This window comes from Homo sapiens, chromosome 8 (assembly GCF_000001405.40).
Source record: "Homo sapiens chromosome 8, GRCh38.p14 Primary Assembly".
NCBI lineage: Eukaryota > Metazoa > Chordata > Mammalia > Primates > Hominidae > Homo > Homo sapiens.
The window spans coordinates 124,712,079-124,735,930 of record NC_000008.11 but is presented as its reverse complement, the minus strand read 5'-3'; the positions used below and the strand labels follow the sequence as shown (position 1 = coordinate 124,735,930).

At 47.3% G+C, this 23,852-nt stretch overlaps 1 protein-coding gene and 1 long non-coding RNA gene across 36 annotated transcripts in view; one reads left to right on the top strand and one right to left on the bottom strand.

Annotated features, from left to right (window-relative positions):
- LOC105375741 (uncharacterized) overlaps positions 1–7,392 on the bottom strand; it is a 28,835-nt gene extending 21,443 nt beyond the window's left edge. For 3 of the 5 annotated variants that reach the window (XR_002956670.2, XR_001745686.3, XR_001745688.3), the window contains exons 1-2: positions 5,865–7,392; positions 4,811–4,873 (exon numbers count right to left, since the gene is read on the bottom strand). This is a non-coding gene — a long non-coding RNA (uncharacterized LOC105375741). The remainder of the gene's footprint in view (positions 1–4,810; positions 4,874–5,864) is intronic. The other 2 variants (XR_001745687.3, XR_928609.4) reach the window with 1 other exon arrangement.
- Positions 7,393–7,457: 65 nt separating this feature from the next.
- The window catches only part of MTSS1 (MTSS I-BAR domain containing 1), a 177,690-nt gene continuing 161,295 nt past the window's right edge, over positions 7,458–23,852 (top strand). For 29 of the 31 annotated variants that reach the window (XM_047422493.1, NM_001363301.2, XM_047422490.1 and 26 more), the window contains exon 1: positions 7,458–8,047. In XM_047422493.1, the coding sequence (XP_047278449.1) occupies positions 7,976–8,047 (72 nt within the window). In that variant the 5' untranslated portion in view covers positions 7,458–7,975. The other 2 variants (XM_011517403.2, XM_017014091.2) reach the window with 2 other exon arrangements.

The window sequence follows — 23,852 nt, the reverse complement described above, 5'->3', positions numbered from 1 at the left end:
TTATTATAAGGAGTTTTCTTTGACACTCTGAAAGAAATAAGTATATACGGCAAATTACAATTTGCAGTATGATAATTCAGTATGAAAAAAAATCAATTCATTTGGCTTATCTTGTTCAGAACTTGCTGTGCTCCCTAAAACTGAGGATTGATGCATTTCACCTCTACAAAATTCTCAGGCAATATCTCTTGGACTATCTGTTCCCCTTCCCCATTTTCTCTTGAACTAGCAATATGCTGTATTCTCATGTCCTCCATGTCTCCTAACCTCTTTTGTCTATTTTCTATTAATATTTCTTTATTTCTGGGCTTCCTTCTGAACTTTCTGATTTAAAAAATTCCCTTTTCAGCTCCATGTCTATTCAGTTCTCTAACTTGTCCATATATAGTTCAAATATACATGGTAATTCCAGTGACTGTAATTTTCGTTTCTAGGCTTTCTTTGATTCCTTTTTCACGATGCTTTTCTCTTTTCATAGTGTCAGTTTTTGTGTCCTTCTTTTATATTTGAATTATTTTAAATTTGCTTACCTCTATCAGATTGATGGATTAGCTTCAGTTCTTGTGGGTTCAGCCCTGCTGGGAGTTTGCTGATTCTTGAGTGTGATGAGTGCACTGTGGCCTTGTATTGATCAGTTCTTTATAGTTTTGAATCCTAAGCTCATTCCAGGAGGCTTTCTGCAGGAATCTTGTGAGGACTTGATTGAGGGTGGATCCCCTCAGAGCCATTTCTCATTTGCTTCTGGGTTACCCAGGATTATTTTAGACCAGTAACAATTTTTCACAGTAATTTTCATTTTAAGTATTTTGGATCCATTTAAGATATGGCAAACTGAAACCCCCAAATGCAGCTGTGGTGCAGGCCTCTGTCACAAATTTTTCACTGAATGCTTTTCACTTCTACCCAGATCCCAGACTAAGACTGCCAGGCTGCTGTGTCGGCCACCTGTCCTGGTGGGCAGATTGTTTCTCGTCCACTTGCCCTTGAAGTGCAGCAGTTATGGGGTGTCCAGCTCTGTCGGTGGCTCTCAGTGGCACATCCCTGACTTGCATGGGACTAGGGACTCTTTCTCTGGTCCTCCTTGGGGGTGAACACGCAGGCCAAGCCCTTGGATTATTGAAACCAAGGACTCCTCCTGGGGCAATTAAAGCATCAGCTGTCATACATTCTTTTTTGTGTGTGTTTTTTTGTTTGTTTGTTTTTGAGGCTGAGTCTCACTCTGTTGCCTAGGCTGGAGTGCAGTGGCGTGATCTCTGCTCATGGCAACCTCTGCCTCCTGAGTTCAAGCAATTCTCCTGCCTCAGCCTCCCCAGTAGCTGGGATTACAGCTGCCCACCACCTCGCCCGGCTAATTTTTGTATTTTTAGTAAAGATGAGGTTTCACCATGTTGGCCAGACTGTTCTCAAACTCGTGACCTCAAGTGATCCAACCATCTCGGCCTCCCAAAGTGCTGGGATTACAGGCATGAGCCACCATGCCCGGCCACACCTGGAACTTTCAATAAGGCCTGGGATGAGGCTGGTGAAGGAAGGGATTTTGAGCACGAAAATGACAAAAAATCAGACCTACCCCTTTAAATTAGATTCTTGTCCCATATTTGAGCATCTTTCTGACATTCCCCTCCTTTCAAAACATCAAGCACTCACTGGGCAGACATCAAGATCCTGTTAACATGCAACTCCTTTCATGACTATTTGTTGTTATATTTTTTATTTTTATTTTTTTGAGATGGAGTCTCACTCTGTTGCCCAGGCTGAAGTGCAGTGGTATGATCTTGGCTCACTGCAACCTCTGCCTCCTGGGTTCAAGCAATTCTCTGCCTCGGCCTCCTGAGTAGCTGGGATTACAGGCATCCGCCACCATGCTCAGCTAATTTTTGTATTTTCAGTAGAGATGGGGTTTCACCACATTAGCCAGGCTGGTCTCGAACTCCTGACCTCGTTACCCACCCGCCTCGGCTTCCCAAAGTGCTGGGATTACAGGTGTGAGCCACCGTGCCAGGCTTGTTATTGTTTTTAATAGCTCCTATGAGGAGGAACCCAAAGGAAAGAATCTCTATTAGACAAATTTCAACCCCTGTGGTCTTGGAGAAGAGAGATTGAGAGTCAGTGAAGTCTTCCCAAAACAACTCCCCTCCCCGCTTCCTGCCAAACTGCCCAGTGGATGATGGGGTTAGAGTGTGCACTGCCTTCTTGTAGTTCTGTGACCTCTGGCAGGCTATCTGATCTCTGGAGCCAGCCTCTATTTCCTTGGGAGTTCCTACCTCACTGGCTATTCCTAGGATTAAAGTGGATGTCAAAGGCCTATCACATAGTAGGGGCTACACACATGAGTTCCCTTGTTCCTCAGGAGTGATTCTCAACTCTGGCTGCTCAAAGGACCTTGCCTCGTCCTCAAATTGGCTGTACATTGGAATCCCCTTGGGAATTTTAAAACATCCATACCTGGGCTCCATTCCCAGTGAATCTGATTTAATTGTCCTGGGCTGTCATCTGGCCATCAGGCTGTTTCAGAGCTTCCCAGGTGATTCAAATGTGTGGCAACATTAAGAACACTGATCTAGGAAACTTTGAAAGAAAGTACCCAGGACCAGGTTCTACTCCTAAACAATTCAAGAAGAACCTCTGGCAGAGGTTTGCTATGGAATTTTTAAAAATGTATCATGCATGTTTTATTCCATTATCACATAAAGACATACAGATGCACGTGCATATGTGAATGGGTGTGTGTGGATGGATTTTGTTAGTGTTTGTTTTACAGAAGCAGGATCACATAACACATACTTTTCTGGATCTTACTATGAAGACAATAATTTCTGCAGAAATCCCTCCAGGTCAATGAATATTATTCTAATTCATTCTTTTTTCTTTTAATTTTTTATTTTGACATAATTTCAGACTTATAGAAATGTTGCAAGAATAGTACAAAGATATCTCATTTCCCCTTCATTAGATTTCCCAAATGTTACCCCATTATGGTATTTGCTTCAAGCTTGGGTTTTGTTTTTTTTTTGTTTGTTTTGTTTTGTTTTTTAATTGAGACAAGTTCTCGTTCTGTCATCCAGGCTGGAATGCAATGGTGTGAACACATCTCACTGCAGACTTGACATCCTGCACTCAAGCGATCCTCTCACCTCAGCCTCCTGAGTAGCTGGGACTGTAGGCACATGCCATCACAGCTGTCTAATTTTTTGTACAGATGCGGTCCCACTATGTTGCCCAGGCTGGTCTTGAGCTCCTAGGCTCAGGTGATCCTCCCACCTCAGCTTCCCAAAGTGCTTGGATTATACATGTGAGCCACCGTGCCTAGCCAAGCTTAGGTATGTTTTAAAAGCTCCTCAGGTGAGTCTAATGCACAGCCACGTTGCTCTGTGGGGCCTCCCAGTTAGCCATGAGACTTAAGGCAGTGTTTGTGAAACTTCTGACCTTCGAGAGGGGTCTTTGCATTAGAGGCAGTTATCTGAAGTGGTTAAGACAGTGGGCTCGAAGTCATGCTGCTATGTTTGAATTCTAGCTCTTTTGCTTCCTCCCTCCTGACCCACCTTCTGTGCCTCAGTTTCTTCATCTGTAAAATAAGGATAATCGAAGTGCTAACTCCTAAGGCTTTGTGAGGATTGAGTGAGATTACTTAAGATAGTACTTGGCACACAGTAAGTATACACTAAAGGTTAGTTATTTGTATATTTATCATTACCATAGCTCATCTATGAAACAAAATTGGCTTAAGCTCGCCCTGGTCACCTATAAACAGAATTCTTTCTGATCGAGTCATTAAATTCTTTAGACAAATTCGGGAGTTATCAGCATATAAAAGTTCCCATTTAGAAACAGGCCCCTTTTGAAAATGAAATTAGCGAGGATCAATTAAAAATATCTGTCACATTGACTCACCCTAAGAGATGTTTTGTATGTGTTTTGTGGATGGCAGGCTGAAAAATGCCGAAATATAACCCTAATGTCCAGAATGTGTCACTGGGGCAGGAAACCAATGAAAGGTGATGAACTGATTAGTAGCAAGGCTGAAGGGGGGTGGCGGGGAGCGTAAAGAGCAAGTTCTCCCCCCACGGACCAGCTGTCCCCCAGGCCTAGGCCAGGTGGGAATGTGAGCCCTGAATTGCCACATGTTCCTATCTTCCTGGAAGTGCTGAAACTTTGTTCCTTGAGGTGAAGTTTCCCAACTTCTAAATATTTTTAGATTTCCCAATTTTTTATTTTTTTTTTTTTAGATTTTCCAATTTTAAAAACTCCTCTGCAGGCCAGTTTGTAGCTTCCAATCATGGGAGTCAAATAGCGGGGTTGGAAGATCCGAAAGGGGAAAGAAGTCATAATATTTTGTATTTCTCCAGGACTATTTGAGGAAGAGAGGCTGTATCTGATGGTTCTAGGTCGCCAAGACATTGTGTCTGCTCTCTAGTGGGGTAGGAACCTGGTTGGGTTCCATTCCTGAGACATTTCTTGAGCACCTGCTTTGTACCAAACCACGCCTGTCCTCCCAGGAGCATCCAATCTCCTTTGCTTTGTTTATGTGCTCCCAAGCTGCCTGCTGACTACTAATTTGACTTCTGCAGTGCCTTGATATGGAGAACTGGGCTCTCAGGGGAACAGATATCCCTGCTGCAAGTTATAAACCAAGACTGTCCAGGACCTGATCTCCCTCTCATTAACAGTATTTCTGGGGCTTAGCTCTTTCTGTACCATATAAGCATGATGAGAAAAATATATATTTTATAAGTAAGATAAGGGTCTGGTCAGAGTAGCAATAAAAGAGCATGAAAAAGATATTAGTTTAGAAAACCTTAAGTTTACATACCATATGAAGCAATTCAGAAATATATCTGGTTATTTCGAATCCATCAGAGGCATCTGAGTTTACCTAAAAGTGTAAAATATTATACATTACACAAAACCCAACATTTCATCATGTAAACAACAAAAACGGGACACCCTATTGTCGCAGAGGCAGATTCTATAACCTGAAACCCCTCCTGCCATAGCCACGTAGACACAGTTGGTAAAATGTAATCAGAATCTCTTTAAATATATGCAGAGCCAGTCTAAAAGAAGGGAAGTCCCCAACAGCCAGAAACAAAGGAGAATCTGAAAACAAGGAAAGAATGTATGACAGCTGGCCAGGCACAATGGCTCACGCCTGTAATCCCAGTACTTTGGGAGGCCGAGGCGGGTAGATCATCTGAGGTCAGGAGTTCGAGACCAGCCTGACCAACATGGAGGCTGAGGCAGGAGAATCGCTTGAACCTGAGAGGTGGAGGTTGCAGTGAGCCGAGATCGCGCTACTGCTCTCCAGCCTGGGTGACAGAGTGAGGCCCTGTCTCAAAAAAAAAAAAAAAAAAAAAAAATTGCCAGGTGTCACTCCCACTTTCCTGCATCTGGGAACACTTTTCCAGCCTCCCTTTCAAGGAGTTCTCATGAGAGACAAGGGCCTGGTGGTCAGGCCCAGGGAAAAAGGCCACAAGAGAGGTATGCTTTGGCAAACATTGCTAAAGTTGGGGTATTTGGGGCATTGAAATTTAAGCATGTGGCAGGAAAGCTAGACCAAGTGTCCACTGGGCTAAGGCCCCTTATCCCAGGAGTTCAGGAGGCTGGGTAAAAGAGAGACCTGGGGCATGGAAGTCAGAAAACCAGGGTTGGATTCCTTCCAACAGTGCAACAAGGACCAGAATGATAATTTCCTTCAAGTAGACATAATACGTATAAAATGCCCAGAATGCACACAGTAGACCCTCAGCAATGTGCCTGGGACAGCACACCAATGTTACAGAAGTGAAATGGGGCCAGGGCTGGACCTGAGCCTTGGCCTCATCCCTGCTTCTTCTGTTGATAAGATTTATCGAATGATTACTTACGAGATGCCAGGTACCACTTGAAGTGCTTTCATCGATCAGCTCATGTAATGTTCAGAACAGCCCTATCAGGTAGAAGCCATCATTATCCCCATTTACAGATGGATGAGGAAACTGAGGCCCAGAAAGGTTAAGTAACATACCTAAAGGCATACAGTTAGTAGGTTGTGAACTGGAGTTTGAATCCAGGCAATCTGGCTCTACAAGCAGTCATCTTGATAGTTAGAATACCAATAGTATTAAAATCACAATAATGATTGGCAGCAAACGATGTGTCAAGCACCCGTTATTGGCAAGGTGAAGATGAGTCGGATGCATTCGAACGCCCTTGGGGACAGGATCCAGCAGGGGTGATCAAGAGATCAGTTACTTCCTGAAGGTAACACCCTTCCGGGTGATTTCGGGGAGACGGATGGGGAAGGTGGGTTGCAGTTAAGAGTTGGGCAGAGTGATCCAGGGGAACATTATCTTCTGCAGCTGTGCTGTGTAACTCCATGCATCCCTTTGATCCATAAAGTTTTCAAAGCCAGACCTTTTCCCATTACGGAGTGAATCTGACACAAGTGTACAGAATTTTGCACTTGGTTTCTTTTGGCCCCACTCCCCCCAGTCTTTTCTTTTGTTATGTTTTGTGCTTCAAATGGTTAGCTCAAGGGTTAAAGGAACTGTCCGGAGTTAGGTGCCTATGTCTTAATATCTTTTAAAAGTTGCTCATTTGATTCTCCTCCCTCTGGCCCATTTGGCGTTCATCTGAATGAGGGCTCCTGGTTATGCAGATAGGCAGTGGAGCTGTGAAAATGGACCACTAGGCCCCAAATCAACCTGGGCACATTTGCGCTCTGCAGGTTCAACCTCCCAGGAGGGCTCCCTGCGGTTATACCAACGCTGGCTGCTCTCAGTGGGCCTGAAAACCATCAACCGTCCAAGTCATAGGCAATCAGCAATCTCGATAGACTGATGGATCGTGGACAGAAGCTCTAACGCTGTTTCCATTCATTTAGCAACAGCAAATCAATCCACTTTCCCAGCATCCTGCAACTTTATCGAACTCGGCATCCCATTGCAGGATACGCCCCCGAACTCTCCTTAATTATATATTTCGCTATTTGCAATCAGGACTCGGCGATGCAGTCCTGACATCAGAGAATGGGCGTCTTCTCAGAAGGCCGCAGTAGCGGCAGCAGCTTTCCCGCCCTACTGAGCGCTCACTACAAGCGGGCTCTGGGCTAGGCGCGCCACCCGTGCAAGTCCCCGGGGAGCGGCGGTGCACCCTCCGTCCCGCGCGCTCGCAGCCATTGTAGGGGTGGGCGCTCGCCAGGCAGGGTGCCGACACGCCCTCTCCGCGCTGCGACGGGCGGCCGGGGGAGGAGAGGGTGCGCTGTGCGCACCGGAGGGAGAGGCTCCGGCCCAGCGCCGCCTGCCCGCCAGCAGACCAGCAGGCTCCTCTTTGCGGCGGGTGCCCCACGCGCCTCTCGGGCGCGCGCTCCCAGCCCCGCCCGCGTGCGGCGGCCGCACGGCCGCGAGAGCGCGCCTCCGCTTGGCGGGCACGGCCGCGAGCGCGCGTGCGCCCCTCCGAACGTCCCCGGGAGCCCAGCCAGAGCGAGCGCCGGGGCCGGGCGCGCAGGAGTGAAAAGGAGGCGGCGGCCGCAGCTGCGAGCAACAGATCCGGACGCCGCGAGCTGACCCGCTCTGCTGTTGGGCGATTTTTTTTTAATTGCAGAAAAATTTATTAAATTGGAAAATCTTGCGTTTTTCAATGGCGCTGGCCCCGGGTCAGCGGGCGATTTTCTCTGCATCAAGATGGGCTTTGCCGTTTCCGTAGTGGGCACCAGTGGTGGCCTGATTGTCAGTCTTCTCCCGGCATTTTTAAGGCCAGGAGCCGAGCGCTGCTTGTAGGCGAATACCCTACAGAGCGGTTTGGCTTTTTAAATTACTGTTATTATTTTGGGCAGAGAACAGTCGGTCTGGTGCACCCCGTCCTCGCTGCAGAAGAGGCTGCGAGTCCGAGGTGGGTCTCTCGGAAGGTGAAATTCCTTCTGGGGTGAGCGAGCCCCGGCCCCGCGCGCAGTCCAGCGGCCCCGCGTGTGTGCCCTCGCCCTGCCGGAGCCGGGAAAATGGAGGCTGTGATTGAGAAGGAATGCAGCGCGCTCGGAGGCCTCTTCCAGACCATCATCAGCGACATGAAGGTAGGACGCCGGGGGTGCGGCTGCGGCGCCGGCCGCCGCGCTCTGACCTCGCCGCCGCGCTTCGCCTCCACCCCGGGCCGGGCACCCGGCCCTTCCCTGCAGTGTGGCCACCGGCCACCTGCGGGAGCTCCCGGCCGGAGTGTCACCTGCTCACCCGGGGCGCTGCTCCGGGCTCTGCGGGGTCACTGGGCGGGTGGCTTCTCTGGGGGGTGTCTGCTGTCCCACGCCATCTCCCCCGCTCATTGTCCCAGGGGGCGGCACCATTTCTTTCCCTCGGGGGCTCAAGGCACTGGCTGCAAGTTTTCCCATTGTCTGTCCCTGAAGTAAGTGTCTGGGACCCGCGGGGGCTGGATGCCCGGGAGGACACCTGATTCCTCCGGGCACGGGGTGGGGGCGCCTGGCGCGGTGGTGGGGAGGAAGTGGGGGCTCTGCCCGCTCGCAGGAAGGAGTCCCCTAGCCTAGGAGACTGAGAGGGAAAGCCAGTCCCTCCTTGGCTGTCAGGTCTACTTGGAGTGGGGTATCTGAGCAAATTAGTTATTAATTGGGCCGTTCCGAAGCTGGTAAAGGTGTGCGTGCCCTCTCTTAGCCCTCCCGCGGGGCGCGGGGCCGAAGTTCCCGGGCAGCCTTGCAGGGGCCCCGCCTTCTCCCAGCTGAGCCTAAAGGCAAGATTGGGGCCCCCGAAATAACTGTATCCTGCCCTCCCAGACCCAAACGGACACACACTCTAGGTTTTCTCTTGGAAGGGTTGTGAAGATGGTGTGTGTGTGCGCGCGTGCATGTGTGTGTGCGCGCGCGCGCGTGGGGGCGGGGAACAACACCCTGGTTTTTTCCTGCAAAGGGTGGGACTGGGGATAACCTGATCCTCGGATGTGGATTTTCTGGTGCCTAGAGATAGACCAGGGCCCCGTGTTATTCATCCAGAGGAAATAAAACCAGCCGCGCGAGCTGGCTGGAGGTGGGAATTGGGAGCGGTGGGGGAAATTATTTTTTTAATGTGTATTTAGGGAGCTTCTCTTTGGCTCTGGCCCAGCCCCAGTTTGCCTCAACAGATCCAGATCCGGGGAGGTGGTGTTTAATTAAAAGCTCGCTTCCAAAACGAGTGGGCAGGTTTGGAAAGCTGTGCACCGAGTGGGTGTGGACAGCCCCTCTTCAGCCGCTGCCTGGGCGCCTGGAGGAGCTTTTGTCTGATGAAGTGTAAGGTTTAGAGAGGCTTCGTGCCTCGGAGATGGTCTTTGGGAAGGAATGCTCAGCTGTCATGGCCTGCTTCCACCTTTCAGAACCAACTGCCACCTCACCCAGGGTGAACTTTATCAAGCTGCCTCTGTCCTGGTTTTGTCCATTTTGAAATCTTTCTACAGCTCTCGTGCCTTTTGTCACAAATTGTCCTTAGCATAGCATAATCTGCAGCCAGACTCTGCTTGCCCAGGAATGCTTATAGTCCAGGCACTTGGAATTAGATGGATTATTCCCTGTTGAAAGACAGCCCCTTTCATTCTGTTGCCCCCAGTGCACACTGACGGATCTGTCCACTGTAGTCCTGGAGTGATCACATCTGGAGTTTTTTCTCTTTGTTCTTTAATCCAGAATCCAGGCTCGGTTCTTCCCATTCACTGTTTGAATCGAAAGCCGTTCAGAAGGTGACCTGCCCAAAGGGTGGGCTGTCCTGCTTTCCACCTGCCATCCTGTGGCTGCGTGGCACTATGCCCTGGCTGGGGACTCACGGGTGCCAAGGTGGTGTTTTTTCCCCTGCATGGTTCCAGTTAAAAATAAAGACATTTTCTTTAATGCCCAGTCACGGCGGAATCTAGAGTTTGTGTATCCTGACTTCTTTCGGTTTGAGTTTAGTAGGTTTGTTCAGTATCCTATGGGAAATCATTTATTTTAAAGTTTTTTTTTTTTGGTTTGTTTGTTTTGGCAGTAAAATTTTAAAAGCAAGGTGGAATGGAAGACTAAAACATGCCTTGGGTTCTGCAGAGTTTTAGACTTTTGGAGACTCGAGAGATGAAGAGAGAGGGAATGTCTGATTTCCAAGATTGTTTATGCATAAGACAATTCTTGAATATTTTCTTGGACTTTGCTTCTTAAAAGACTTCATCATGGATTAGATGACAGTGACATTTTAAATGGAAATTAAAAATTTTTAAATTTGAACAGATCTGATAAGCAGTATATAGTGTGCAGATGCATGAAGTCACCAGCAACAAAAGTCAGTTTTTAATATCTGAAATCAACTGACTTTCTAATGACCTGCTTATCCTCTTGTTCTCTTCTTTAAACTCCCATAATGGGTTTATAATGCCTTTGGTCTCCTATCTGTTTGCTCTGAGGGAAAAGCGTAAATGTCGGAAACCCATTTGGAATGCCATCTTGATAAAAATTTTTAGGTTATTTTCTCAGAAGTGATGTTAGGCTGGGTGAGAAAAGGATAAGGAAAATGGTTTTATTAGTAGCATTTGATTCTTCAAAATGTACAGCAGCACAGGAAGGGAGTCAATTTCCTCTTTGGAGAAAAAAAGAAAACAATAAAAGGAATAATTTCAAGGCCTGGCACCCTCCATCTTCTGAAACCAGAGAACCTCAAGACATGGAAAAGCAAGAGAGAGAGGATTCTTTGTGCTTTCCTCTAAAGATGCTTCATCTAAGTCCTCGGCTGGCTGTCAGGGCATGGGTTTTATCCTTTTCAGGCAGTAAGGTGTGGAAGAAATCCTGACTTTTTCTCCACTGGGGAACAGCACCATGTAAAGCAAGCAGCAGCTAGTAAACAACATATCGATTCCTTGACGAGAGGAAGCCTGGTGGTTTGTTTCCCGTTTATTCTACCCTGCTGTGGTGGTGGTCGCTAATGAACGGTGTTGTGCAAAATCACCTACTGGCTGCCTTTCCTCCCATCCATGCAAATTAGTAAATCGCTGATCAAATTGGCTGGTGTGAGTTGGTTCCAGAGGAAAGGGGAGACAAGATATTCACGTGGCTGGAGGGAAGGGCCCATAGCTGGTTTGTCTGGGGAACAGTAGTCTGGAAGTGATGTTGACTGCCTTCCGATGTGTAGACGATCTTGACTGCATCAAGGAGGTCCTGGAATCTTTTTGGAGTTTCTATCCAAGCTCTGGGAAGGGAGGGCTCCATGTCTCAAACAGCAGCTTTGTGCCTTTGCTTTTGAGTCATTGAACCGGCATCGATTTTGGTGATGTCTGGGGAGTTCTTAAGACCAGGAGACTTTGCTGGCCAAAATTGAGGACAGCTCACTCTGCGGATGTCTTTCTTCTTTTAATAATTAACTTGGGTTAAAAAAACAAAGTTGGATGTCTGAAATCAAATATTTTCTTCACCCTTGTTGCTCAAGAATCAGCATGTCGAGAGCTGAACTGGGCCTGCTGCGGGGAGAACTTTGTACGAGGTTAGGAGTATAGAATGTGACTGGCGCAAGACAACCCCAACCACACCTGGTTCCTCCACCCCATGTGTCACTTTAGACAGGGGTGTCCTGTTACCAGCACCTGTGCTGAGCAGAATAGAGGCCTTGTTCAGTTCCTCCCCACCGCCCCCCACCTGTGTTTGCCATCACTATCCTCTTTCCTAAGTTCTGCCTAAAATTAGAACTGCTAAAGGGACTTCTTGAATTCCATGGAAATCTTTTTGTGGTTCGAAGCCATGTCGTGATATTTTCCCTCCCATATCATAGGATGGAGAATGTGGGTAGTGGGTCCAACACTGGATAGTGATTTCAGGATTTTTTTTTTACCCCTCACTGCTTTGTTTTGGGGTTCCCATCAGAAGAGAGATACACTTCCTTGCTGTTTATGGAGGGCAATTGTGTAGAAGGCCTTTTGCTAGGCTCTGCCCTTGGAGAGCTCCTTGTCCTGTGGGCTGTAAACAGGTAATATGAATCCAATATGGTGGTCATGAAGGAAGGGCTGTGGTTCAGCCTAGAGAAGAGCATCAGTCTCTGCAGGAGTTCCCTTGGAGGCCTCAAAAAAAAAGTTTTCTCCAGGACAGCACTGAAAACCCAACCAAGGCCTCAGCCAGGTGCTCTGAGGGAGGTGGGCTGCTCCCTATAAACGGTGACAGCCACCAAAGGCAGGACAAGCAGAGCACTTGTAAAGGACACATGGGCCCCATGTTGGCTTTTCTCTTAGCAAATGGTTGTATTTGGCCAGGGTTTTACAGCTTCCTCGTTTTGGGCCCATGGGAGAAGAAGGTGAAGTAAAGATGTCATAAAATCGACAGCAGGAACTGCCTGGGATGGGTGCCCAGAGATTTAGGACCTCTTCTATGTAGAGTCATCTTTTTGGTTTTTTGGGTGCCAATTTTGTTGTTTGGAAATCGTTTCTATACTGGTTTGAGTGTTTCTTTGTGAAAACCCCCTCCCTATTTAGTTTTTGTGAAAACCCTTTACTATTTAGTCAAATTTTTTGGAACTTCTAGCTTGATGCTGTGAACCTTTATGTTCTGAAATTCCGCAGTTTGTAATGCTCCAAATCAAGAGAAGTCATTCCTAGGTCCTGGTTTGCATAGAAGGTAAGCTGAGTTTGGATTTTGCCTGGTTCAGCCATTGCCCAGTTCTTACTAGAGTAACATATACTCATTCCGTAGTATTTATTGAGCATCAGTGGTGTTTCAGGCACCAAACGTGGCATAATGATTTCAGCAAGTAAAAACGTAGGGTTTCCCATTAAATTTGCATTTCAGATATACTAAAAAATTGTTCACTATTTAAGTTTGTTCCCTGTGTGCTATGTGTTCTCAGTTGCTGACCTCTTGCCCTTTGAACTCTTCTTTTGCACCTCAGCCACAGGGAAAAGGAAAAAAGCTAAAATGATGTCTGTCAATTTGGCTAGCTTACTTAAGGCTGTTAAAATGCTTGGAGGGTGAAAAGGTTGAAACTATTGATTCATTAGATGCTTTATCTCCAATTTGCATCTCGGCTTTTTCCATCTTCACGGGCATGGGTGGCGATAGCTGGCAAGATTCCTTCTGTAGTGAGACCATTTAGATGTTCGAATTGGGTATGGACAAATGAGGTCACTTTGAGTTCCCCATTACTTCTCGGAACTGCCTTCAGGACACTTACCCCAAAAACCCACACCTCTGCAAAAACAAAGAAATACCTCACTCCAGACCAAACAAAAGCCAGAGGACAGATTTAGCTGCCTAGGATGTCAGACAAGAAATTTGGGGGCCATTTAAAGGGAACTAACTGATGCTGTGAGCCGTTTAACTCAGATTTGGAGATAGCACTGCTGATATGGCCTTATTAAGTAGCAAACAGGAGAGGAAAATGAAATTGAGGAGTAAATTAATTGGCTGAGCATTAAGGAAGCCCATTGTCACGATTGCTGAGGTTCTCCCTTGAATTAGCAGTAGACTGCAGGTTTCATCTGAGTATGAGCCACCAAGGCAAATCAGAAACAACCGAACAACCAAAAACTTAAAAGTAGCAATTCCCAGTGCAGAATCCACTCCAGAGCAGTCCCCGTCTCAACACCTGGAAGTCCTAGGCTTGGGGCTCTCTCATCTCGCCTGCTTCCCGATTTGTTTGGAGGTGACAGTGTTTTTACCTACTGAGCAAATGGGAGGATTTGGGTTGTTTAAGATTCTCTGGGGGCTGGACAAGGGCCCTTGTAAGTCTGTGTTTGAAGAAGTGGATGGGCTCACCAACAAAACTCCTTCCTGTGCTGCCTCTTGGCGTATCTGGCCTTGGTCATAGGTTCTAAGTTGTTTTTCTTTTCCTGTCTAATGTAAGTGGGTGAAAAAAAAAAATCAATTGAGTTGAGTGCCTTTTGAACTGTGTGTCTTTTTATTTGCTTGCTTTCTCTCAAAGCAGTAGAAAGTTTCAGCTCACTCAGCACCAGCAGCTTCCTGGGCATGGAGGTGGGCAGCAGGTTTTGCCTGGGTCCCCTCTGCTGCCTACTATGCGACAGGGGCTCCAAGGGCCGTGGGAATGGGTCTCACCAGAAGGCGAGGTTCTAGGCAGGTGTACCTCATTTGGCTGCATGCGTGTGGTTACAGAGCAGGGTCCATTGGGTTCCCTGGGAGCTTGGAGATGCTGCTGCCTGGGCCAGGGCTCTGATCAGTGCCTTGGGGTACATTCATGGCATTAAGATTTTGAAAAGCACCCCAGGTAATTCTGGTGATGTCCAAGGCTGAGAATCACTGAGCTGTGTAAGTCTTCCCTCAAAGCCTTTTCTGGTAGGGCGAGGTGCCCATCACTCTGGGAGGCCAAGATGGGTGGATCACCTGAGGTCCAGGAGTTTGAGACGAGCCTGGCCAACATGGTGAAACCCCATCTCTGCAAAAAATACAAAATTTAGCCCAGCGTGATCACGCACACCTCTAGTCCCAGCTACTCAGTAGGCTGAGGCAGGAGAATTGCTTGAACCCGGGAGGCAGAGGTTGCAATGAGCTGAGATCACGCCACTGCACTCCAGCCTGGCGACAGAATGAGACTCTGTCTCAAAAAAAAAAAAAAAAATTAGAGTTAAATGTTAAAGTAAATAAACTGAAACATAAAAATAAACAGCAACAAAGGATTTTAGAATACTTTGCCATGATTTATTGATTCTGTCCGTTGTGATTTTTTTTTTTGCGATGATGGAAATTGTTAAATACGTGAGCCACTAGCCACGTGTGACTATTGAGTACGTGAGGTGTGGCTAGTGCAGTCAAGGAATTGACTTTATTTTTAGTCACTTTTCATTTGTTTAAATTTAAATAGCCGTGTATGGCTAGTAGCTACCGTACGGAACAGTTGCAGATCTGTAACATATCATCTAGAGAATTAGAGTGTGCCTGCGTTGCAACACAGCTTTCTATCTTCTACCTTCTGCTGGCTACAACACTGCCCCTAAACCCCTCCATAGAAATTCTGGAGCTAGAGTTGACCTTGAAGTTAAAGGAATCTGACTCAAATCCCATGGGCGAGTTATTTAATCTCTGTAAGTCTTGGTTTCCTCTTCCGCAAAATGGGTCTGATGAACCTGATAAGAGTTGTTGGAGGATTCTGAAGTGAAACATTGCTTGTGAAGGTTTTCACACATTGCCTGGCGAACGTCCACTCAAATGTTAGAAGCAGTTACTATTCTGTCTTGTAGATTTGGGAATGAGGTATTTTGAAGTCTTAGAATCAGTGGAGTAATTATCTCCACCACTTCTTAGGCAGACACTGCCCCACCCTTATGGAGCTGTATTTAGAGCTTGCAGTGAAGTTGCAGGAAATGGAGAAGTTGAGTTTTTTTCTTGCTAAGTAAATCGCCCCTGAGTTCATTACAAAGGTCAGCTGGCCCAGCAGGACCTATTTGCATTCTGTATTTGCAAACCCTACTGTTTGTTTATTAGGGAAGGAGAGGGTGGGGTCCTTGGCTAGGACATTTGTAAGTCAGATACATTGAGGCCTGGGGGAGGGAAAGTTGCTTTATTAGGGTCATCTTTTCCCATCTACATCCTTTGAGTTTCCTCCTTTTTCTGGGGCAACCACCAAAAGTGGCCATCCTGTGCCTCTAGTCTGCCCTGTGGCAGCAGCTTCCCAAGTCTTGGCCACATCTGGGTTCTTCCCATGGGCCGAATGTGGCAGTCCTGCCTTAACCTTTTGTGTGAGGACACCTGTGATTTGGCCCCAGCTAAGTGGCCCGCTATGTGTCCAGTGCTCCCTAACTCGGACTCCCAGGCTTCCTTGACACAGCCTGTGCTCCTCACTTTTGTTGTTTGTCCTGTCCTGTCTCTGCCATTGCTGCCTACTGAAATCTTTCTCATCCTTAGGCCCCATTAGACAGTGACCTTATTCTCTGGTGCCTCCTTTTCCCTCAAAGCTCGATAACCCTAAAGCCATTTTTCACATTCTTTGTGACATTCTACCTAGTATTGATTATATCCTACCTTAAAAAGTGGTTATCCTTGGGCTTTGAAGCCCGGCTCTAGCGTTTCCTAGCTCTATTGCTCTGAGCAAGTTAAGTTTACTGAGCCTTGATTTTCTTACCTGTAAAATGGGAGAAGAGGTGAATAATCCTTCCCTCTTAAAGTTGTTGAGTATTAAATAAGTAAAAGTCGAGGGCTTAGCATGAAATAAGTGCTAAATAAATGCTCGTATCTATTTGAGCCACCCTAGTAATTCCTGGCAGAACCTCCTGCTGATAGTGGCACTCAGATGTTTCAAAGAATAGAAGCAACCTATGCCTTCAGTTTGATAATGCAGTAGAGACAAGTGCAGTGCTTTTCAACATTCAACATATAAGTAATTTGAGAGGACACAGTACATGTATTCGTCAAATACGATGGCATGTCTACTGCATGTCAGGTGCTGCTGGGGGGTGGAGGAACACCTGTGGACAGTATAGACAGTCATTGCCCTGAAGTGCTCAGTCTAGGAGACAGGCAGGCAGGTAATTAGAGTTCAGTGTAATCCACACCACCATAGAGATCAGCCCAAGATTGTGTGGGGGCTCTGGGGAGGGCCTCTGATTCCCATTTAGGGTGGGAGTACAGAGTCCAGGAAGGCTTTTGATCTGGGTGACACCCTCGCTCGGAACTGAGTTTTATTTTGCTTATTTTAAAAGCATTTATATGCAAACCAGGCACTATGCTAAGTGCTTGACACAAACTTATTTAATCTTCCAACCACCCAGCGAGGTAGTCTTAGTAACTAGTATAATTCCCATTTTACAGATGGGGAAACTGAGGTGCTGCGCGGTTAAGCCATTTGCCCATGTCATACAGCTAGTGAGAAGCATAGCTGGGAGTTAGTTGAGTCCAGGCAGTCTGGCTCCAGGGTCTGTGTGCCTCTCCACAGGACTGGGCTCTCTCTCGCTTTTGCAGCCTAGCATTTTAGATTCTGTAACAGGTGTATTTCATTCATGTCCTTGATCGCTCTATTTGTACCATTAGGACTCAGGATGAGACAGATAAGAACACACAAAAATCTAGACTCACCTCTGAGTTTCTTCCAGAAGCTCAAGGGGTCTCCCTCTAATTAAGAGGAATATGCCCTGGCCACGGACATGAAGTTGTTGGGCCAGGCCAGTGCAGTTTTTGGGAGCAGCTGAGCTGTGAGATCGAAGTGTGCAATAGGGTTGTCTAAGGTGGCAGCCACACGACACATGTTTGTTTTGCTGGAGGAGCCCCTCTGTCAAGGGTCGCTCCAGTAACCACTCTGCACCCCGAGTGATTGAGTGCAGAGCAGGAAGCGGGCAGATATTTGCAGAAGGAGGCTGGGAGAGCTCAGGGATTAGTTCCCAGGGAGACCTCCCTTTTGAGGCCGGACTCCTCTCCTGCAGCCGAGCACGCAGCCATTAAGGAAGTCTTTGAGTTTGGTTTAATGGCCCCTCTTTGTTTTGAAGTGGCTGTTTACTGAACCTTCAAAGCCCGCTCGGCAGCAGGATGTGATCGAGGGCCTGAATAATTGGATGAGGCACCCCAATAGGAAACAGGGAGCGGGGAGCAGAGCCAGGACTAGCCGACAGCCAAGCCCTCTGTCTGAGCCTCCGCTGGAGGGACTGAGGTCATCCTGCAACCAGAAGTTGACCTGGAGCGGGGGTCCCCTGGAACCTGGCCTCTTTGATGTTGTGCTGGCCTTAATTAGGAACACCCTAATTAAGTCACTGAGGAGGAAGCTTTTTTCTTAAAAAAAAAAAATTAGCAGATGTTTTGAGAGCATTTCATGAGGGATTACTTCTCAAAGATTATGTAAGTAACGTAAAGTTAATGGAAGAAAAACTAGAAACTTCAGTTAAGTAAAAAATAAGTCACCCACAAGCGCTTGATGAGAAAGTGGGTTATGTTCACACTCACAAGGGCTCGCACATTTTCAGCAAAGGGTCAGGGAGCCAAGACTGTGTCAGAAACTTCTTTCTTCACTTAGCGGCCTGGCGTCCTTGCCTTTCCGTGTGTGTAGTTGTTAGCAGTGCCATTGTTAATGGCTGTGTGGTGTTGCACTGCTTTGTATTTCTCTAATTAATTCATTTGGTCAAAACATACTTGAGAAGCTACTAGTACCAGGTTCTAAGTGCTGGGCTCTAGCAGTGAACACAATGGACACAAATCCCTGCCCTCCTGGAACTTACATTCTAGTGGAGTGAGGTGCAGTTGAAGGAGACACATGGAATAAGTCAATTCTCTTGTATAGTAGGATTATGTGCAATGGGGAAAAAGCACTGTTGCTGTTTTTCTTTTTAATTTTTATTTATATATATATTTTTTGAGATGGAGTCTTGCTCTGTCCCCCAGACCGGAGTATGCAGTGGCGCGATCTCAGCTCACTGCAACCTCTGCCTCCCAGGTTCAAGTGATTCTCCTGCCTCAGCCTCCCGAGTATCTGTCCCCCAGGCCGGAGTGTGCAGTGGTGCAATCTTGGCTCGCTGCCACCTCTGCCTCCCAGGTTCAAGTGATTCTCCTGCCTCAGCCTCCCGAGTATCTGTCCCCCAGGCCGGAGTGTGCAGTGGTGCAATCTTGGCTCGCTGCCACCTCTGCCTCCCAGGTTCAAGAGATTCTCCTGCCTCAGCCTCCCAAGTAGCTAGGACTATAGACATGCACCACCACACCCGGCTTTTTTTTTTTTGTATCTTTAGTAAAGATGGGGTTTTGTCATGTTGGCCAGGCTGGTCTCGAACTCCTAATCTCAAGTGATCTGCCCGCCTTGGCCTCCCAAAGTGCTGGGATTACAGGCATGAGCCACCATGCCCAGTCTGGTGCTGTTTTTAAGTAGAGTGGTTAGGGGCGGGCCTCGCAGAGGAGGTGGCGTTAGAGCAACAACTTAAGAACCGTGAAGATGTGGGCAGGGGGTGAGGGCAGTGTTCAGTGCAAGGGAAGAGAGCATGTGCAGAAGCCCTGAGGCAGAAGCCAGTACCTCCCTCATTTGTGTTTAGGTTGCGTCCAGTTTTTTTTTTTTTTTTTACTAATTATAAGCAACCCTACAACAAGTACATCCTTGTGACTAGACATTGATTTACATCAGTGATTTCCCCCGAAGGACTTTTTATCCTTGGTCAAAATGTGTGTTTTTTTCAAGGCTTTTGAAACCCATTACCCAAAGCCTACCAAAAAACATGTCTCAGTTCCCAATTCCCATGTTTGAGGGCTCACCACCGTGGATTACATCTAAAGGAGCTAGATGTGGACACTGGGACCTAGCTGGCACCCCTGCTTCCAAGGGCGCAAAGGGACATGTGGCATCTTATCTAGTGCAGTGATTCTCAAATCTTGCTGTGTGTAATTTTTAATGAGCAAAAGTGTCCCTGGAGAATGGGTTAAAATGCAGATTCCCTGGCTCCATCCCAGGAGACTTTTTGTTGATCTGGGGGTGGGGCTTAGAACCTGTAGTGTTAGCAAACACTTCAGGTCATTCTCTGATAGGTCTTGCTGGGATTCCACCAGGAGTAGGTGGAAGTGGGAGTGCCCCCTGGGTCACCTGAGCCACTGAGAGCTTCCTCTGCAGCTCTTGAAGTATGTAGGGAGCTATCTCCCGCACATGTGTCCCCATCCCCGACTCCACCACAGATATACTTGGAATGCGATCAGGCAGACGAAATGAGTTCTGTGCCTAGGCAGAGCATGATCTCGACTTCCTTTCATTTGCTAATTCTGTCTTTTGCAGGGAACGCTTCCTCCCTCTTTGTTTCATTTCTCTTTGCCAAGAAAATTCCCATTTATCCTCTGAGACCGAGGTGAGGCATTGCCTCACTCTGGGAACCGCACTGTCCAGCACTTTATATCTCGAGTATGCTGCCCTTGGGGCTTTGGGATCTGCAGTTCCACATCAGCTTTACTGCTAGACTGCGTTCCTCAACGCTTTGGTCTCTTTCTGTCTATGGCCCACCCCTCACTCAGTGCCTGCGCATAGTAGGTGCCCATTCATGGCCCAGTCAGGGTGATTGGCATCGTACATTGAGTCATCAAAGCAGAGTTGAATTCTACTTGCTAGTCACCCTTCTAAACACTTGTTGTTTTCCCCATCATCCTACAACCATCATTTGAGGCAGGGACTGCCATCAGTGTCCTTTACAGATGAAGACAGGGCAGCACCAGGTGATTAAATTACTTGCCCAGGGTCACCCAGTGAGCACATCTGGAATTGGCAGGCTGACTCTAGAGTCATGCTCTTAACCACTAGGCCACACAAGGCTTTTCAGGCTCTGGAATATGGCTACACCTCAGCGCCCTCTCGCCAGGCAAGAAAAATGACATTCAATGGAAAGACACTTAAAAAAAAAATGGCTATGGAAATGACAAACACAGTTATCACTGTGACACTGGTGGCCTTTGACTCTTTACTGGCTACCAGGGCATCGTTCCTAGCAGCCTGGGGTGGGAGTTGAGGTCACAGAGGAGGTGCTATCTGTCTCCGTTCCAAAGGGGAAATCTGCTTCGTGGAAGATGGCAGAGCACACTAAGCGTGTATAGCGCAGCAAGGCCAGTGCTTGCCCCAGGGTGGATGTGACAAGTTCATCATGCTGCCCTTGGCTGCGGAGAGGTCTCAGTTTAAAAGGGAATATGGATTAAAAAAAGTAAGGAAAAGAAAACAAATTAAACAACAAAAATTAAAAAAAAAGAAGAAAGAGAAAAAGAAAAGAACATAAAAAAGGGAATATGGAATGAATACAGAGGTATGTGTGTATTTAGGGGAGCAAAACCTCAAACATGATCCTCTCTAGGGTAGAGGGTGTTTGTGTGTCTGTTCAGGGTATTGGAGAGATTGGCCCCAAGAGGAACTAATCCCTAAAATGCAGAAGCAGTTTTGGAGTTGGGTAGAGGCAGGTCAGAGCGGACACTTCCAGGGAAAAGAAATGGGTGAGTGTAAATGGACCAACGTGAAGTCACGCTTAGAAGGTCTAACATTTCATAGGGTGTGCAAGCCACTAGGTGTTTTGCTCAGGTTCAATATCTAATGTGGACATTTATAGACAGGAATAAACACATGGAGCAATAGCTTTGGCCTCTGGATAGGAGGACAAAGGTTAGAGGGTAGATATGTATTATTCTGGGGAGGATTAAGCTTATACAAATGCTAGGTAAAAGCAGCCAGCCCCTGTATTAGGTGGTTAAATATTGAGTTCCCAGGTTTCCAGATGTGGAGAATCAGTCAGTCTTAGGTGAACCCATTATACAATTTTATTTTAAAAAGAACTGGGCAGGCTGGGAGTGGTGGCTCATGCCTGTAATCAATCCCAGCACTTTAGGAGGCTGAGGTAGGTGGATCACTTGAGGTCAGGAGTTCAAGGCCAGCCTGTCCAACATAGTGAAACCCCATCTCTACTAAAAATACAAAAAATTAGCTGAACATGATGGCACACTCCTGTAGTCCCAGCTACACAGAGGCTGGGGCAGGAAGATCACTTGAACCCTGGAGGCGGAGGTTGCAGTGAGCCAAGACAGCACCACTGCACTCCAGCCTGGGCAACACGGCAAGACTCCATCTCAAAACAAAAACAAAAACAAAAACAACTGAGCAAACTCAGGAGCAATTAACCATTGCTTAGGAGCAAATAACAGTTAATGCAGTTAACCGGGCGTGAGGGCAAGCCCTTCCCTGACTTTGGGCAAATTACTTACTCTTTCTGTGCCCGATTTTCCTATGGTTAGTAGGGAAGTGTTAAATGCCTGTTCTACCAGCTGCCCTTTCAGTGGTGTTTTGAAAGACCTCTGTACTCTCGAATACAGCATACATGTGAGGCGGTGCCTTCAGTGCCCATCATGACGTCAGTTTAGATTCCCACATGGCAGGTTTTCACCTTTGAAAACTTGGCCATACAAATGTCAGGTGGCTGCTGATGCAGGCAGTGACTAACCATAAACCTCTTCCTCTCTCTTTTGATGGGAGGAACTATCTGAAATCATAAAGGAAATGTCATGGCCGTAATGGCCATGGCTCTTGCTTGTAATCCCAGCACATTGGGAGGCCAAGGCAGGCAGATGACTTGAATCCAGGAGTTCGAGACCAGCCTGGGCAACATGGCAAAACCCATCTCTACTAAAAATACAAAAATTAGTCGGGTGTGGTAGTGTTTCCCTGTTGTCCCAGCTACTTGGGGGACTGAGGCAGGAGGATCGCTTGGGCCTGGGAAGTCGAGGCAGCAATGAGGGGCCTGGGAAGTCGAGGCTGCAGTGAGCTGATATTGTGCCACTGCACTCCAGCCTTGGTGACAAAGTGAGACCCTGTCTCAAAACAAGAAAACAGGCAGGGCGCAGTGGCTCATACCTGTAATCCCAGCTCTTTGGGAGGCTGAGGCGGGCAGATCATCTGAGGTCAGGAGTTCGAAACCAGCCTGGCCAACATGGCAAAACCCTGTCTCTACTAAAAATACAAAAATTAGCCAGACGTGGTGGTGCATGCCTATAATCCCAGCTACTTGGGAGGCTGAGGCAGGAGAATCTCTTGAACCTCATAGTCGGAGGTTGCAGTGAGCCAAGATCACATCACTGCACCTCCAGCCTGAGTGACAGAGCAAGACTGTCTCAAAACAAACCCAAAATTGGGGAATGAGTTGAATTTAGGGGATGAAAAAGGAGAGGGATTCTATTTTTCAAGAAATGTGGAGCATGGAACACATACATACATTTTACAGTGGTTAAAAAATAGAACCAAAAACCTAGCTGTGGTTGTAGAGCACCCTAAGATAGTGAAGCCCTTAGGGGTGCCGTTGTGGTGGGGTGGCCATTGCTGTCCAATAGAACTTTCTGCAGTGGTAGAGATGTTCTGTGTCCATGCTGTCCAGTACGGTATCCACTAGCCACTGCAGAGCACTTGAGGTGTGGCTAGTGGGCTGAAAAACTGAATTTTAAATTTTATTTAATCATACTTTAAATAACCTCATGTGGGGCTCCCCTGTTGGACAGCTCAGGATAGACAAAGGAATACTTCCTGGTGGAAAACTTAAGAAAATGACTTGGAAGATATGGTTGACATATTTGTTTGGTTATTTTTATTTTAAGTGGAGACACCCAGATGTCAGAAAACAGCCCGGGCATCCAACCTAGTAATGCGGGAGGAGGAAAAGCTTGATATCCTTGATTTGTTTGGTTAGGGTGTTAATAGTTACAAATGGAGCAGTTTGTAAGGGGAGATGGACGGATGGACAGAGGGAGCACCTTTTGTGGTTCAGTCTTCCTTTTCATAGGCATATTTATTGCTGGTGTGCTTGGGCAAGTGGGTGAGGGTGGGCGGGCGAGGAAGCAACCATTGATTATCCCCAAGGCTGTCATCCGCTTGATGGACAGGGATAATTAGTGGATTAGGCAACCCCCAATCAGAGAATAAAAGCCCAGGAATGGTATTTATGATGGATGGGCTTACCCAGTGCCTTTCATCTGAGGATCTTAGGAGCCCTTCATCTTGCAGGATTGGGTGGGGAAGGGTGGTTTTGGGGACAAAGCTATGACAGGCATTCATGGGCCCTGTCTGTCATCCCACACGCCCACTTCTGGAAGCTGAGCGGATTCTTGCCTCATGCTTGAAGAAGCAGGGAGGCCAGAGCCACTCCAGCGTAGGTCAGAAGGTGCCAGCCTCCTCTGGAAGCTGCGTAAAGCAGCTTCAGGGTAACCTGAAGGCTGAGCTCATCCAGGGTATACCCAGCGGAAGAAGAGGAAGGATGCTGTTGGCTATGTTCCTCACACTCGCCCTGCTGAGGTCTCCGCAGACCTGGGAAGGGGTCATGGTGGCAGGGGTGGCTGTGGCAGCTGGAGATTTAAAAGCCCCTCCCAGATTGACTCTACTGATCTCCTGGTAGAAGAAGACCAGTTTGTGTGTTCACAGAAAACCAAGATGAGATAAAATTATCCATAATCATACCACAAGTGCCAACAGCTATGAACCTCTTGGTGC